Raw genomic sequence first — 16,891 nt, forward strand, 5'->3', positions numbered from 1 at the left:
GGTGGGGTTCGTAGCTAATGCTGAAATTTGCATCACTTTAAGACACCAGTGTCATCATAGCCCAGTGTCATCATAAGTGCACATTTAGAATTGAGGTGTATTCACTCCTGCATTCTAACGTAGAAAAGGTCCACTTCCCATCTGGTGTCTGTGGCCAGATGGAGGTGTAGGGTCTTAGGAAAGCAATATGTCTTGAAATATTCATAATGAAATAATGTCAATTGAAATAAACCACATCAACAAAACCTAGTAGCTGACCCTACTCTTTGGTTTTCAGTCTTTAAAAATTCAGAAGGGAAATGCATCTAAGCAATTCCAATGCACCCAGTTTCCCCATTTACTAGTTGAGTAATGTAAAGGAAACAACTTGACTTTTCTAAGCTTATCTATTAATACAAAACAATGCAATGAGCGTTGCCAGGCCCTAAATATTGGGAGCACTTGCCTTGGGCCAGAAGCTCAGCATGGGGTCATGGCTTACACATGGTGAGTCCTGGCTACTCCACAGGGTGGCTGACTTCCTTCCTTGTCTCTTCCATCTACACAACCTGTGAGGAGGAAGTCACTTGACCAAATGAAAAATCTAAAACTAGGAAGCCTAAAAGTGTGGTTCAAATCTCACAGTTTACTATGTTTATCACGTTTACTCTGGCAGAGCTCATCAGCTTGAAAACCTCGTTTCTTTACCAGGGAATCCACTCTGGGGAAGCAACAGTCCAAGATGTTACTGGAAAGGAGTCCCAATCCAGATCCCAAGAGAAGGTTCTTGGATCTCGTGCAAGAAGGAATTCAGGGCGAGTCCATGCAGTAAAGTGAAAGGGGCTGCTGGTTGCCCATGTTTATGGTTATTTCTTGATGATATGCCAAACAAGGGGTGCATTATTCATGCCTCCCCATTTTAGACCATATAGGATAACTTTTTGACGTTGCCATGACATTTGTAAACTGTCATGGTGCTGATGGGAGTGTAGCAGTGAGGACGACCAGAGGTCTCTTCCGTTGCCATCTTGGTTTTGGTGGGTTTGGCCAGCTTCTTTACTGCAACCTCTTTTATCAGCAAGGTTGTTATGACCTATATCTTCTGCTGACCTCCTATGTCATCCTGTGACTAAGAATGGCTTAACCTCCGGGGAATGCAGCCCAGTAGGTCTCATCCTTATTTTACCCAGCTTCTATTCAAGATGGAGGTGCTCTGCTTCAAACTCCTCTGACAAAACCATCAGAAACCAGAGAGAAGGCAGACGCCTCAAGGTGACGCTGGCCAAGACCCAGACAGGCATCATGTGTCCCAGTGGAGACTGGCTCGTGATGACACCTGAGCCACAGACGATCCCTCTCACACCTAGATGCTATCTAAGGCCGATGGCAACCGGATGCCACCCTGAGCATGAGGTAGGAGGCAATTAACCCCTGGTTGGCTGAATTGACCCAGAGAACGGAGTTGACCTTCAGTTATCAATGTTGAACATTCTTCTAAGAAGACGTGAGGAGAGCTTGAGATAGAAATTAAATTCAGACATACTCAGCATGTAAAAATAAGGGATGTTCCATCTGTTGCCCACCCGAGGATAATGGATTGACACTTCAGGGACTTTAGCAATATGCCAGGCACTGTGCTAAGTAACTGACACTGATTAGACCGTTTAATAATTACAACTGAATGGGTGGTTAATGATTGTTATTTCATTGTTTTAGATGAGAAGCTCAGAAAAGTCAAGTAGCTTCGTTAAGATTGCACAACTAGTAAATGAGGGAATCGGGAGTGCTGGGATTTTTAAGGTGCATTTCCCTTCTGAATGGCTGAAAACTGCAAAGTAGAGTCAGTTAGACATCCAGCTATCAGCTTTATGCATTGGGTCCTATGGTAGAGAGAATGTATCTCAGGTCTGAGCCTGAACTTTCACCCTCATGCTCCTTCATAGCCCCATGTCTCCAGAGTCTGGGCTTCAGACATTGCCCTGGGTCAGGATTCCCAGGAAACAGACTCTGAGATGGAGATGTGCATGCAGGTGGTGACTGGGAATGGCTCTGAGGAACAGCCCCTGTGTGGGAGGGAGGGAGCAGGATGCCGCAGGAGAAATTAAAGTGCAATAGGGATGCAACTGAGGCCTCAGCTGATCTCACGGAGAGCTTTGAAGCTTGGGTGGCATTTCAGAGATGCCTTGAATTAAAGTTTTGGGACTGGGTCTTTGTATCCTAGCATCACTGGATGCAGTCACTGGATGCAGGCTACCCCTGGCGTCTGAGGAATGCGCACCCTGAACTGAGGGCAGGAGTTGGCCAACATACCACAGAACCACTGCAGTCCACCTGCAGCATTCCGCCACGTTCCAGAAGCTCGCTTGATGTGGGCAGAGCTCGTCTGGGACTTGGTTGGTCTCTTCCTGGATAAACCTACAATGGAAAGGTTATTGAGACAAACTGATGTCTCTGTGCTGAAGTGATCTTGGGACAATGACAGATACTCATGACCTCCCGCATCTACTACCCAGTCTTGATTCTCCTCACCCCCAGCTAGCACTGCTAGACTTAGACTTTGATGGTCCAGGGTGGGGGCTGCCCAGACTCTCATCCCTCGGGGTCTCCTTCCTCTGCTCACCATACCTTCCTTGGTTCACGACTGAGGTGCCCTCCATTTGTTATCAATATTCAGTCAGCAAGGACTAATAAACACCTCCGTGGATCATGTGGGTGCTGAAGGTGTTCTTCCTTCCTTCCATGTGCAACGGCAGGCTCTTTTTTTTTTTTTTTTGAGACGGGTCTCACTCTGTCGCCAGGCTGGAGTGCAGTGGTGCGATCTCTCGGCTCACTGGAACTTCCACCTCCCGGATTCAAGCGATTCTCCTGTCTCAGTCTCCCGAGTAGCTGGGACTTTAGGTGCGCCCCACCATGCCCAGCTGATTTTTGTATTTTTAGTAGAGGCAGAGTTTCACCATGTTGGCCAAGATGGTCTCGATCTCTCGACCTTGTGATCTGCCCACCTCAGTCTCCCAAAGTGCTGAGATTACAGGCGTGAGCCACTGCACCCCACCAGAAGCCTCTTTTTTAATGATTAGGGCCAATTAATCCTTTCAGATGGTGACACCTTTTCTTGCTGCTGGTTGTATGGCAAAAGAAGCCTGAAGTGTCAGGGAGGCAGTCCCAGCTTAATGTGTAATGAGACTCTCGCTGTGTCCCTTAGTGGGAAAAGTCCCCCTCTGGGGAGCTGCAACGATGGGAAGCACAGTTCTCTAAGTGAGCCACTGGGAGCAATCATAAGTAGGGCAGCACTCCTTCCAGCCACTGAATCCCATACTCATGGTAGACCTTCTGGGGACACAATACCATGCCTTTGTTATTGATTTCAAGAGAATATTGCATCTTGGAGTGTAGTGCCCCATCCTTGCAGGAGATTATCTCCAAGCTGTATCCTCAAAGGGTAGCTTCTTTGAGCTATCAGGACAGAAGCTCCAGGGCAGTGCGGGATGTGATAGGACTGGTGAACCCATGCTCACTTGCACGCTGTCAAACTTCTTTTGCTGTGAAGCGGGTCCCTGGGTCCAAAGGCAAGTCGTGCAGGATTCACGTGGGTGGACCAGACGTTTTGTAAACCCTCGGATAGTGATGGTGCCTGAAGTTCTGTGGAAAGGAAAGCCAAACTCCCACCAGGATATGAGTTAATTCCTGTCAAGCAGAATCATTCCCTTCCAGACTGGCTGGTTGGTCTCTGAGTGATTGTGCCATACTGGGGGCTCAGGGTTGTTCTCTGTGGCTTGCAGGTTGGGTATTTAGTAGCTAGATCAGCCTTGGTGAGTTGGAGACCATGCTGTTGGGTCCATGCATAGCCTCCTTCCCTGTCACCACAGCTGCTTCGTTCATGGGTTCATTGGGCCACTACTGGAGTGAGCAGTGAGTGAGGAGGGCTGAACCTCGGCTGGCTGAGTCATTCTCCCTCCTTGTTGTTTGATGTCTCTTCCACGGTGAATGCTGTCTTGGGGAAACTAACATAGAACATGACCATCTTTATGTTTAATGCTCATCCTGACAGGACCATTCACAGGCCTCCTTGTCCCAAACTTTGAATTTTTCTTCTTGTAAGTCACTCAACAACCAGCCAAGCCATTCACCACTGCCAGTGAATCTATATGTGTTTTAACCTCGGGCCACTTTTGTTTCCGCTCCAAGTAGATGACATTGGGAAGAAGTCCCTCATTACGTCTTTCAGGGGCACCCTGAATTATCAGGGGCTGTAGTGCAGGAATAGTCCATTTTCAGCTAGTACCATGTAGCAAGTTTACCCATCTGCCATCTGTGAACCAAGCATTTCCCTCCCTGCTCAGCAGGTAAAAAGGGACAAGCCCCTTTCCCTGCCACCGTGTGGTCACAGGAGTTAACTGAAGGGAAAGCACTGGTTAGAAGTGGTGGATGACAGGCAGGGCTGGGTGTGGGAGAGTGTCTCGGACACCTGCCACTGCAACTTACAAGTGCCTTCTGGCCCTACTGGTGCTCCATCATGAGAATTATTTGCAGATTGCTTGTCTGACCTTATGAGTTAGGGGGTCCTGACCTGAACCCAGGTCATGGTGGGCTGGCTGCATGGTCCTTGTTGCCATGGTTAGGTAGCAGGACAAAGCTTTTTTCAAATAGTGCATATTTTTCTGCTGCTAATGATGTGAGCTTGCTCTAGACCTAAGGGTCTGTGCTGTGATTCTCCTGTTGAGACTTGTCTTAACTGCCACCTGGTGTCTTTTCCCACTAGGGCCTGCCGGGCTGTATGGGCCCAACAGCAGGGACACTTGCACCTCAGCCTGGACCTGCTGCCCTGCTCTTCCTTCTCTGGGTCTCATGCAAAACTGGCATCTTTCATGTCGCAGGATAAGTGTGTTTCAGCAATGTTCCCAAGGGTGGGAAATGCTGCCTCCAGAATCCAGAGAAGTCTGCTGGGCCTTGTGCTTCCTTCTTAAAGGTGGGAGGTGTAAGGTGCAATAATTTTATGTTTTACTTTAGAGGGAATGTCCCAGCAAGCCCCAGACCACTGGATCCTTACAAACATACTGATCTATGGGGTTCCTGATCTTCATAGGGTTTCTCTCTTATCTTTCTTCCCACCTCCTGGCAACATACTTGTTGCATTTTGTTCATTCAGCCTTAATGTGTCCACATAGTGGACCAACATGATGCACTGTGGAATGTCCACAAGGTCCCGGTCTTTTCAGCCTGTATCCTGACAGAGAGCTGGAGAATTAACATCGCCCTGGGAAGAGCTGTGAATGAGTACTGCTATCCATCCCACGTGAGCGCGAGCTGCTCCTACTCCTCTCTGCTGATAAAGAGGAGAAACCGCATTCATCGGTTGCTTGGCTGTGTGCCTTGTCTATGGTCACTGGCTCTAGAAAAAGTTCTACATGGGCTCAGCAGCTGTGCTTGGGACTACACTTAGGTGAGTTTGCAGTACTTCACTTTCACCTTCTAAGATGTCTGTGGCTTGGAAGCAGCCTGATTAGTGAATGAAAAAGGGATATGATGGAATCCATTGGCCTTGCTTCCCTTGCATCTACTGTTTCCCTTGGGATACAATATTGTTTTTGATTTACTGTCTTGGCCTGAAGGCAAACATAAGTTTTTGCTTGGCTTACCCCACTGTGATAGCTCTTACTCTGCAGAACAAGGAATCTATACATGGTGTATTTGTTTACTAGGGCTGACATAATAAGTATCACACACTGGGTGGCTTAAACATAAGAAATGTATTGTCTCAGTCCTGGAGGCCAGAAGCCTGAGGGCTGGCTCCTCTGAGGTCACAAGAGGAGATCTACTCCAGGCTCTCCCACAGCTTCTGCTGGTTGCTGCAGCTGCTGGTGAGCTTTGGCTTATAGAAGCATCACTGGGGTCTGTGCCTTCTTCTTCACGTGGTATCCTTCTTGTGTGTGTGTGTCTGTGTGTAAATTTCTGTTTTATAAGGACACCAGGCACATGGGTTAGGGCTCACCCTAGTGACCTTATCTTAACTCATTACATCTGCAATGACCCTTTTTTCAAATAAGTTCACATTCTGAGGTACTGAACATCAGGACTCCGATATATAATTTTGTTTGGGGGAAGACTCAATTCAGCCCATAACTTGTGGGTTCTACCAACTGTCAAGTGTGCCCACCCCAATTACACATGGTGGATGGGGAAGCACCCACTGGGTGAGTCTACGGGCCTGATGGGCCTGGGCCAGGACTCTTCCTTCCTTCCTTCCTTCCTTTTTTCTCCCTTTCCTTTCCTTTTCTTTCTTTCGTTCTTTCTTTCTTTTCTTTCTTTCTCATCTCCCTTCCCTTCTCTTCCTTTCTTTCTTTTCTTTTCTTTCTTTTGATATGAAGTCTCACTCTGTCACCCAGGCTGGAATGCAGTGGCGTCATCTCAGCTAACTGCAAACTCCACCTCCCTGGCTCAGGTGATCCTCCTGCCTCAGCCTTGCAAGTAGCTGGGACTACAGGTGCATGCCACCATGCCCAGCTAATTTTTTGTATTTTTAGTAGAGATGGGGTTTCACCATGTTGCTCAGGCTGGTCTTGGACTCCTGGGCTCAAGTAATCCTCCTGCCTCAAGCTCCCAAAGTGATGGGATTGTGGGTATGAGCCACCATGACCAGCCCAGTTAATAATTTCTTATGCTATAAAGGCCTCTTTCTAAATGTAAATACATGCTTTTGTTTTCATCTGAGCCATAGCATTCCAACTTAGTTTTAGTCCAAGTTATGGAGGTCCACGTATTTATTTTCTTAATAATCATCTCTAGCACTCCTTCATTCCTTCATCCATTTATTTTCCATTGAGTGCTTATCCATGACAGGTAGTGTCCTAGATTCTGAGGATACGTTGTAAACAAATAAGAAAATAGATCCTTGCTCTTGTATAGTACACAGAGTGTTATGGCTAATTTTAGCTTGGATTATGGAAGTATAAATACAATTTCATTTTATGCAAGAAGAAAATATGGCTGGAAGATGATCATTCACGGGCTTTATAATTAGCATAATTTACAGTCTTCTTCCAACTTTAGGGTGAGAATTCACCGGATTACTGAGTTACCCAACCTCACTGAATCAAATGAAATGTGGGTGTGTGTGGGGGGGTGGCTGGGGAGGGAACCAACCCGGGGATGTTATTAAAGTAAAATTTTATAGGAAGTCTTTCTCATTCAGTATATCACCCTGCAGTGCCACCTGGCGGTTACAATGAAGGAAACCATTTCAATCCACACTGATAATTGTAGGAACCTGGAAACTGTGGGGGCTCCCATGCACTCATTTCCCAAGAGGGTGTCAGGAGGGTCGTGCACTAGAGCCCGCAGTGAGTACCTGTCTCAGTGCTTAGTTGCACCACTGCGGAGGAGGCATCATCCAGCCTGAAAGTGCCCTCCCTCATGACTCGTCCCTCCCCTAATACAAACACCGCACAGGTGGGGTCCAACCATAAGTCCCCACCCCTTACCACAGCTTAGACTCATTTGTTTGTGTGATTTATTTTATTTTCATTTTGTTACTAGCCACTCTAAAAACGAGAATTTTTTTTTCTTTTTTTAAAAAAATTTATTTTAGGTTTGGGGGTACATGTGAAGGTTTTTTACGTAGATAAACACGTGTCATGGGGGCTTGTTGTACCTATTTTTACATCACCCAGATATTAAGCCCAGTACCCAATAGTTATCTTTTCTGCTCCTCTCTCTCCTCCCACCCTCTCCGCTCAAGCAGACCCCACTGTCTGCTGTTTCCTTCTTTGTGTTCGTAAGTTCTTATCATTTAGCTCCCGCTTGTAAGTGAGAAAATGCAGTATTTGGTTTTCTGTTCCTGCATTAGTTTGCTAAGGATGATAGCCTCCAGCTCCATCTGTGTTCCAGCGAAACACATGATCTTGTTCTTCTTTATGGTTGCATAATATTCTATGGTGTATATGTACCACATTTTCTTTATCCAGTCTGTCACTGATGGGCATTTAGGTTGATTCTATGTCTTTGCTATGGTGAACAGTGCTGCAATGAACATTTATGTGCATGCGTCTTTATGGCAGAATTATTTATATTCCTCTGGGTATTTACCCATTAATGGGATTGCTTGGTCAAATGCTAGTTCTGCTTTTAGCTTTTTGAGGAATCACCACACTGCTTTTCACAATGGTTGAACTAATTTACACTCCCACTAACAGTGTATAAGAATTCCCTTTTCTCTGCAACCTAGCCATTATCTGTTATTTTTTTGACTTTTTAGTAATAGCCATTCTGACTTGTGTGAGATGGTATCTCACTGTGGTTTTGATTTGTATTTCTCTCATGATCAGTGATATTGAGCTTTTTTTCATATGCTTCTTGGACGCATGTATGTCTTCTGTTGAGAAGTGTCTGTTTATGTCTTATGCCCACTTTTTAATAGGATTGTTTTTCTCTTGTAAATTTAAGTTCCTTACAGATGCTGGATATTAGACCTTTGTCAGATGCATAGTTTGCAAATAGTTTTTCCCATTTTGCAGGCTGTATGTTTACTCTGTTGATAGTTTCTTTTGCTGTGCAGAAGGTCTTAAGTTTAATTAGATACCATTTGTCAATTTTTGCATTTGTTGTGATTGCTTTTGGTGTCTTTGTCATGAAATCTGCCTGTTCCTAGGTCCAAGATGGTATTGCCTAGGTTGTCTTCCAAGGTTCTTATAGTTTTGGGTTTTACATTTAAGTCTTCAATCCATCTTGAGCTGATTTGTGTATATGGTGTAAGGAAGGGGTCCAGCTTCAATCTTCTGCATATGGCTAGCCAGTTGTCCCAGCACCACTTATTGAGTAGGGAGTCTTTTCCGCATTGCTTGCTTTTGTCAACTTTGTCAAAGATCAGATGGTCGTAGATGTGCAGCCTTATTTCTGGGCTCTCTATTCTGTTCCATTGGTCTATATGCCTGTTTTTGTACCAGTACCATGCTATTTTGGACACTGTAGCCTTGTAGTATAGTTTGAAATCAGGTAACATAATTCCTCCAGATTTGTTCTTTTTGCTTAGATTGCCTTGACTATTTGGGCTCTTTTTTGGTTCCATATAAGTTTTAAAATATTTTTTTCTAGTTCTGTGAAGAATGTCATTGGTACTTTTATAGGAATAACATTGAATCTGTAAATTGCTTTGGGTGGTATAGCCATTTTAATGATATTGATTCATCTAATCCATGAGCATGCAGTGTTTTTCCATTTGTTTGTGTCTGTTCTGATTTCTTTGAGCAGTAATTCTTTTATAATTCTCATTGTAGAGATCTTTCACATCCCTGGTTAGCTGTATTCCTGGGTATTTTTTTTTTGTGTGTGTCACAATTGAGAGTGGGATTGCCTTTCTGATTTGGCTCTCAGTTTGGTTGTTCCTGGTGTATAGGAATGCTAGTGATTTTTGTACATTGATTTTATATCTTGCAACTTTGCTGAAGTTGTTTATCAGCTGAAGAAGCTTTGGGGCTGAAACTATAGGGTTTTCTATGTATAAAACCATGTCATCTACAAAAAGAGATAAGTTTGACTTCCTCTCTTCCTATTTGGATACCCTTTCTTTCTTTCTCTTGACTGATTGCTCTGGTTAGGACTTCCAATACTATGCTGAATGGAAGTGGTGAGAGAGGGTATTCTTGTCTTGTGCTGATTTTCAAGGGGAATGCTTCCAGCTTTTGCCCATTCGGTATAATGTTGGCTGTGGGTTTGTCATAGATGGTTCTTATTATTTTGAGGTATATTCCTTCAATACCTCGTTTATTGAGAGTTTTTAACACAAATGGATGTTGAATTTTATCAAAAGCCTTTTCTGCATTTGTTGAGATAATCATATGGTTTTTGTCTTTAGTTCTATTTATGTGATGAATCACATTTATTGATTTTCATATGTTGAACCAGGCTTGCATCCTGGGGATGAAGCCTACTTGTTTGTGGTGGATTAACTTTTTGATGTGCTGCTGGATTCGGTTTGCAAGTACTTTGTTGAAGATTTTTGCATGGATGTTTATCAAGGGTATTGGCCTGAAGTTTTCTTTTTTTGTTGTGTCTGTGCCAGATTTTGGTATCAATATGATGCTGGCCTCATAGAATGAGTTGGGGAGAAATCTTCTTCCTCAATTTTTTGGAATAGTTTCTGTAGGAGTGGTACCAGCTCTTCTTTGTACATCTGGTAGAATTGGGCTCTGAATTCATCACATCCTGGGCTTTTTTTGATTAGCAGGCTATTTATTACTGATTCAGTTTTGCAGCTCCTTATTGGTCTGTTCCCGGAATCCATTTCTTCCTGGCCCAATCTTGGGAGGGTGTATGTGTCCAGGAATTTATCCATCTCTTCTAGGTTTTCTAGTTTGTGTGCATAGAGGTCAAATGAAAATTTCTGTATTTCTTTCTTTCCTTCTTTTTGTGTTGAAAGAAGCTCTTGCTATGTTGCCCAGGCTGGTCTTGCACTCCTGGGCTCAAGCAATCCTCCTGCCTCAGCCTCCCGTGTAGCTGGGGCTACAGGTGTGTGCTTTTTATTGCACTTTTCTTCCACCTGACTGTAAGCTCCATGAGGGCAGAAGCCATGTCTGTTTCACATCCTCAAGGCACCAAAACCAGTATCTGATACATGATATGTGCTCTCTGTGTGTTGAAAGAGTGAATGGGTGTAGGGGGTGCCTGTGTTGTAAATCATGTTCTGGAGGTGACCTCATTTCCTTGGAGGCTTCCTCTGGATCAGGTCAGGCATATGATGAATCCCTAGGCTCTCTTTGCCAGCGTGGTGGCAGGTTCTCTTCCAGGTCTTGTTCAGGCTGATAATTGATCAGCAGTAATTGATATGAGGAGAGACAGAAGAAACAGACAGGAACTAGAATCCATAGATTCCTGTGCATGCAATATACACCAATACGACTTAACACTGCTGCACATCACACCACTCTCACTAAGGGTCACTGGTCCCTAAAATATTTTCCTACAGGTATTACATGTAGACCACATAAAACAATCTATTTGGCTTGGTGTTCATGTGTTCTTCCCGCCATGCCATAGGGCCTGCTCTGTGCTCCAGCCACTGAGGTTAGTGAGGCTGATAGGGAGTCATTTCCACTGGCAACACCCTGGGCCAAGCGTTATTCTCATAGTCACGAAGCAATCCTTGGCAATTCGACATGTGGAAACATCTTCATGATTTAGCTTTTGATTAAACTTTTTTTGTCTTAGACTTTTTAAAAATAACCTTTTTCCTTTAGAATAGTTTTATACATACAGAAACATTGTGAATATAGTATAGATCAGCAGTCCCCAACCTTTTTGACACCAGGAATCATTTTCATGGAAGACAATTTTTCCACAGACCTGAGGTGAGGGAGACGGTTTCAGGATAAAACTGTTCCACCTCAGATCATCAGGCACTAGATTCTTATAAGAAGCACACAACCTAGATGCCTCTCACGCACAGTTCACAATAGGGTTCACACTTCTATGAGAGTCTGATGCCACCACTGATCTGACAGGAGGCTGAGCTCAGGCAGTAATGTGAGCAATGTGGAGTGGCTATAAATACAGATGAAGCTTTGCTTATTCACCAGCCACTCACCTCCTGCTGTGAAGAGCAGTTCCTAACGGGCCACAGACCAGGACCAGTTTATGGCCCAGGGGTTGGGGACCCCTGGAATAGAAGGTTCCCATATACTCCATACCCAATTTCCCCCATAATTAACATCTTACATAAGTATGGTACGTGAAAAACATCAGACAAATCTCAATTGAGAAACATTCAACAGGAAACTTGACCAGTACTGCTCATAACTGTCCTAGTGGCCAGAAACAAAAAGGCCAGAGAAGTTACAGCCAAGTAGAGCATAAGAAGACATGATGACTAGTCTAATGTGGTGTCCTGGATGGAATTCAAGAGAGGAAAAGGGCATTAGGGAAAAACTGAGCGAATAAATCTGAATAAAGTATGGACTTTGGTTAATATTCATGTGTCAATATTGGTTCTCATCAATTGTGACATGTTTACCATACTAAGGTAAGATGTTAATAACAGGGGAACTGTGAGTGGGGGTACATGGGAATTCTCTGTATGATCATATTACTTTTTTTGTGAATCTAAAACTACTCTAAAATAATTTTATTTAACAACAACAAAAAATCAGATACTTCAAAACAAAACAAACAAAACCAACCACAGCCACCCAAAGAGAACACAGCCTTATGTCACGTGGCTGGTGGATTGAACTGCAGGTGGAAGTAACTTAACCTGTAGAACGAGACATTTTAAACCATATCTTTCATTGAAAGAAAAGTTTTCCAAATGGGAGATTAAATTAGTGAAGCATCTTATAAACTTTATCATAAATATTTGAATTAAAAGATGACACAGTAGAGTGAGAAGAATACAGGGAGACTCTGAAGTCAATGTTAAAGACAAAACTCGTGGCCTCCCAATAGCAATAGCATGACTCTTGGCAATATCGTGAGATCTTTATAGCTTCCGTTTAGTCCCGGTAAAGTGAGTATAATAATACCCACCTCTTATCATTGTAAGGCTGATTGAATGAGACTGTAGGTACAGCCCCCTACAAAGTACCTGGCACAGGAAAGCAATCGTTCCACCCAGGCAATTCTGAAATCTGTAAAACAGAAAACCAAGAAGGGGTGCTGGAACTCGGCACCAGTGCAAGTTCAGGCGGAAGTCCTGCTTTTTCTGGGAAGCCTCCTTTCTGCTCTTAAAGCTGTTCAACTGATTGGATCAAGCCCACTCAGACTATCTGGATAATCTCTTTTACTTCAAATCAAATTAATGTTAATCACATCTACAGAATGCCTTCCCAGAAACACCCTTATTAGTGTTTGATTGAATAATTGGGGACTAGAGCCTGGCCATGATGACACCAAACCTGGCCATCTGTCCCTTCCTTCCTTCCTTCCTTCCTTCCTTCCTTCCTTCCTTCCTTCCTTCCTTCCACCCACCCATCCATTCATTTTTCCATTTATCCTTTCTTCTTTCCATCCATCCTTCCATTCCACCCATCCACCCATCCATCCATCTACCTGCCTATTTATCATGAACACTGTTCTCCTGTACTATAACTGAATGAAAGGTCATACCCATTAAAAAAATTCTGAGTTATATGGGTCAAGGTGAGCACACTTACTTTGTAAATTGCCAGGTAGTAAATATTTTCAGCTTTGTGGTCCCTTTGTCTCCGTCACAACTCCTCAGTACAGTTGTTGAGTACAAAAGCAGCCACAGACAATATGTGAGTGAGTAGGCATGACTCTGTCTGATGGAACTTTACACAAAATGGATGCCAGGTGGGACTTTGCCCATGGGCTGTGGCTAGCTGACTTCTGATATAGATCAGTTGTAAAGATATGTTTTTAGAAAGCACTGACTGAGTGGAAAGGGAAGCTAGTGAAAGAAGCTTGCCTATGGTAGGTCTACAAAAAAGAGACAAAGGGAAGAGCACTTTATTAGGGCTCAGAGCAAGGCAGGAGTGTGAGACCATGACAAGTGCTGTACTCAATGCACCCTCAGTCATGCTGTCACCAATCGTCGGGTTTTCCTCCTTCCAGGCACATGACCTTCTCTGCCCCGTTGAAGTAAGCTGTTGCCATGTGATTTGATTTGGACACTGAAATATGAGCAGAAATATTATGGGGGAAACTTTAAGAGCAGCCCATGTTTGTCACATTTCTGTCCCTACAGCAGCAGTTTTAGGATGAAGCTTCTACCAACCTGAGTGTCTGAGTAAGATGAGCAGAATTCCCTCACCCACCAATGCTATGTGAGTAAAAAATAAACTTTGGTTGTATTAAGCCCCCAGTATTTTGGGATTGTTACCAAACAGAAGCTGGCCTATCCTGTCTGATATACCTAACGACACCAACAATATTTAACTAAAATTTCATCCCTTGTATCTTTTGTATGCTACCTTATCTGTATGCTACCTCTGTCTTTTGTATGCTACCTTATTTGTCTTCATAACACTTTCTACCACCTTACATATATTTATCTATTCATTTACTTGTCTGTTTTCTCTGCTAGAATACAAGCTTCCCCAAAGCAGGGACTTCTGATAATTGCTCTTAAAGCTTGGAATGATTTACTATGTGACATAATCAACATCACCAAAAGCATCAACAACACAAATAAGCATATGTGTAGTCCTCACAAAGCTATGTGAGGTAGATAGTATTATTAACCTTGTTTTTCCTTATAGGTGAATTATTCTCATTTTACCTATAAAAATGCATTAGTTATCTATTGCTATGTAACAAATTGCCGCAAAAGCAGCTTAAAACATCACACGTTTATTAGGTGTGAGTCAGGTGTCTGGGCACAACTTGTTGGTCCTTTGTTCAGGGTTTCTTGCGAGACTTCAATCAAGGCACTGGTGAGGGCTAGGGCCTCATCTGAAGGCTCCACTGGGGAAGGATAGGACTTTGAAGCTCACATGGCTATTGGCAAGCCTTTATTTCTTGCAGGCTGTTGGACTGAGGGCTGAAGTTTCTAGCTGGCTGTTCAGGAGAGTCTGCCCTCAGTCTTGATTGCTTGCCATGTGGGTGTCTCCAACATGACTATGTGCACCATCCAAGTGCACCTGCTGAGAAGGGAATAGAGAGATTCTGCTAGCAAGATGGAAGCTGCAATCCCATGGAATCACAGAAGTGACTTTTGCTGCAATCTGTGAGTTAGAGAAGCAAGTCAGAAGTCCCAGCCCCACTCAAAGGGAGGAAATTACACAGAGTATGATTACTGGAGGCAGGGATTACTGAGACCATCTGAGAGTTTGCCTTCAAGAAGGAACTTGGAATTCAGAGAGGTCACAGAGTGGGTCAGTGGTACAGATCGTGTCACCCTGACCTCACTGAGACCTGACAGAACTATAAAGGTTATGGGTCAAAAGGTAGAATGTATTCCCTAAAGCAAGGCACAAGTATTAATTTTGTTCCAATTAGGGCCAGAATCAGGATCTTGAGTACAAAGTTCACACATCTTCTTTGTAAAAAAATATGAAATCAGAAATGAATCTTTAAGAAATTAGCTGTTGATTACATGAAATTATTAAACAAATTGCTTGGATCTAAAAAACCTTTGGGCCTGGCATGGTGGCTCATGCCTGTAATCCCAGGACTTTGAGAGGCTGAGGCAGGTGGATCATTTGAGGTCAGGAGTTCAAGACAAGCCTGGCTAACATGGTGAAGCCACATCTCACTTGAGCCTGGGAGGCAAAGGTTGTGGTGAGACAAGATTGCGCCACTGCACTCCAGTCTGGGCAACAGAGTAAGACCCTGTCTCAAAAAATAAAATAAAATAAAATAAAATAAAATAAAATAAAATAAAATAAAATAAAATAAAATAAAATGCCTTTTGTTTCTTCAAGTAATACAATAAAATTCTTATCTCTGTATTAATAATAGAATTAAGTGGAAATATTTTCACTTATTCCTCTTTATATGAGTACTTTTATTTGGTGCAACAATGTACCCAGCTAAAAGAATACATTTCTCATTTTCCTTTGCAGGAGGTGTAGACATTTGACTAAATTCTAGCTACTGTGTTATGTGGGCTTCTTGGAAGATTCCTTATAGCTCGGTGATATGGTTTGGCTGTGTCCCCACCCAAATCTCATCTTGAATTCCTACGTGTTGTGGGAGGGACCCTGTGGGAGGTAATTGAATCATGGGGGAGGTCTTTCCTGTGCTGTTCTTGTGATAGTGAATAAGTCTCATGAGATCTGATGGTTTTTAAATGAGGAGTTCCCCTGCACAAGCTCTCTGTTTTTGCCTGCTGCCATCCATGTAAGATGTGACTTGCTCTTCCTTGCCTTCCGCCATGACTGTGAGGCTTCCCCAGCCACATGAAAGTGTAAGTCCAACAAATCTCTTTCTTTTGTAAATTGCCCAGTCTTGTGTATGTCTTTTATCAGCAGCATGAACATGGACTAATACACTGGGTGATCAGTTGGTCATCACATTCTTTGTAGATTTCCTTCTTCTTGCTGCAGCCACCAGCTGGGCAGGGAGAGGATATTGAGAACAAATTTCATGCTGAGGATGGCAGAGGAGAAAGATGAAAGGAGTCTAGGCCTGTACATCTCAACTTCTTTGTGCAGGAGAGTAACGCCTTACATGCATTAATCTGTTATTTGAGGTTTCCTTTATATGCGTTTGGATTGTCTGTGGCTGCAACGAATCCTGATACAATACAAAGTATTTACACCCTAGAGAGCTGTGCTAAAGAACCTATTTGCCATCTCATCGTGCTGGCAAATGACACACAACGTTCAGTAAAACTCAAGCGGATGCTATTCTGTTCTCTGCTAAATGTGCCTGATTTATCCATTGTGATGTCCTGCCATTCCAGATAGAGATCAGGATTCCCTTGCCCCATGGCTCTGCTACAGAGTCTGCCTTGCCCATCTGGCATGTAAAACCCTGAAATGTAAAACTCTGCTGTTTGTAGGAGTGCCAAGATGTTTAAACATATTTTAGATATTTTTTGGAAAGTTGTAAAACGTGGCTAATGTAGGAAATGGTAGCAGTTCATAAACACTACTTATTGTTCATCACTTCAGATGTCACTAGGCTTATGTAAATGAAACCGAGATATTTTTCTTTTTTCTGTGTGAAGTCAAGCCCATTTTTTCTTCTAACATTATAGACATCCCAGAGTGGTTATCAGCATTTGAAAGCAGCAGGGCCTCTTTCTTCTTCTTGGATTTGGTTAAAACAAAAGGGCTACGGACAGTCTTGAAATGTGAACCAAAACCCCATGTTTTTAAACACCTCAGCAAATCCGAATGAAGACAAGTTTCCTCCTTCAGGGACAAAGCAGGGTTCAGTCTATAAAACCTGACTTTGAAGCAGATGACAACTTTTCCCACAGGTGGTGCACAAGTACTTCTAGGAAACACAAACACCT

At 43.4% G+C, this 16,891-nt stretch overlaps 1 protein-coding gene and 1 long non-coding RNA gene across 2 annotated transcripts in view; one reads left to right on the top strand and one right to left on the bottom strand.

Moving 5' to 3' along the window:
- Window positions 1–2,312: 2,312 nt before the first annotated feature.
- On the bottom strand, window positions 2,313–13,232 carry LOC107985499 (uncharacterized). The gene is made up of 3 exons (XR_001755056.2): window positions 13,119–13,232; window positions 12,493–12,593; window positions 2,313–2,394 (listed from the first exon to the last, which is right to left on the bottom strand). It is a non-coding gene; the product is annotated as an uncharacterized LOC107985499 (long non-coding RNA).
- The window catches only part of IGSF5 (immunoglobulin superfamily member 5), a 90,311-nt gene continuing 76,390 nt past the window's right edge, over window positions 2,971–16,891 (top strand). The window contains exon 1 of the mRNA XM_047440699.1: window positions 2,971–5,419. The gene's annotated coding sequence lies outside the window, so the exon portion shown is untranslated. The remainder of the gene's footprint in view (window positions 5,420–16,891) is intronic.

This window comes from Homo sapiens, chromosome 21 (genome assembly GCF_000001405.40).
Source record: "Homo sapiens chromosome 21, GRCh38.p14 Primary Assembly".
NCBI lineage: Eukaryota > Metazoa > Chordata > Mammalia > Primates > Hominidae > Homo > Homo sapiens.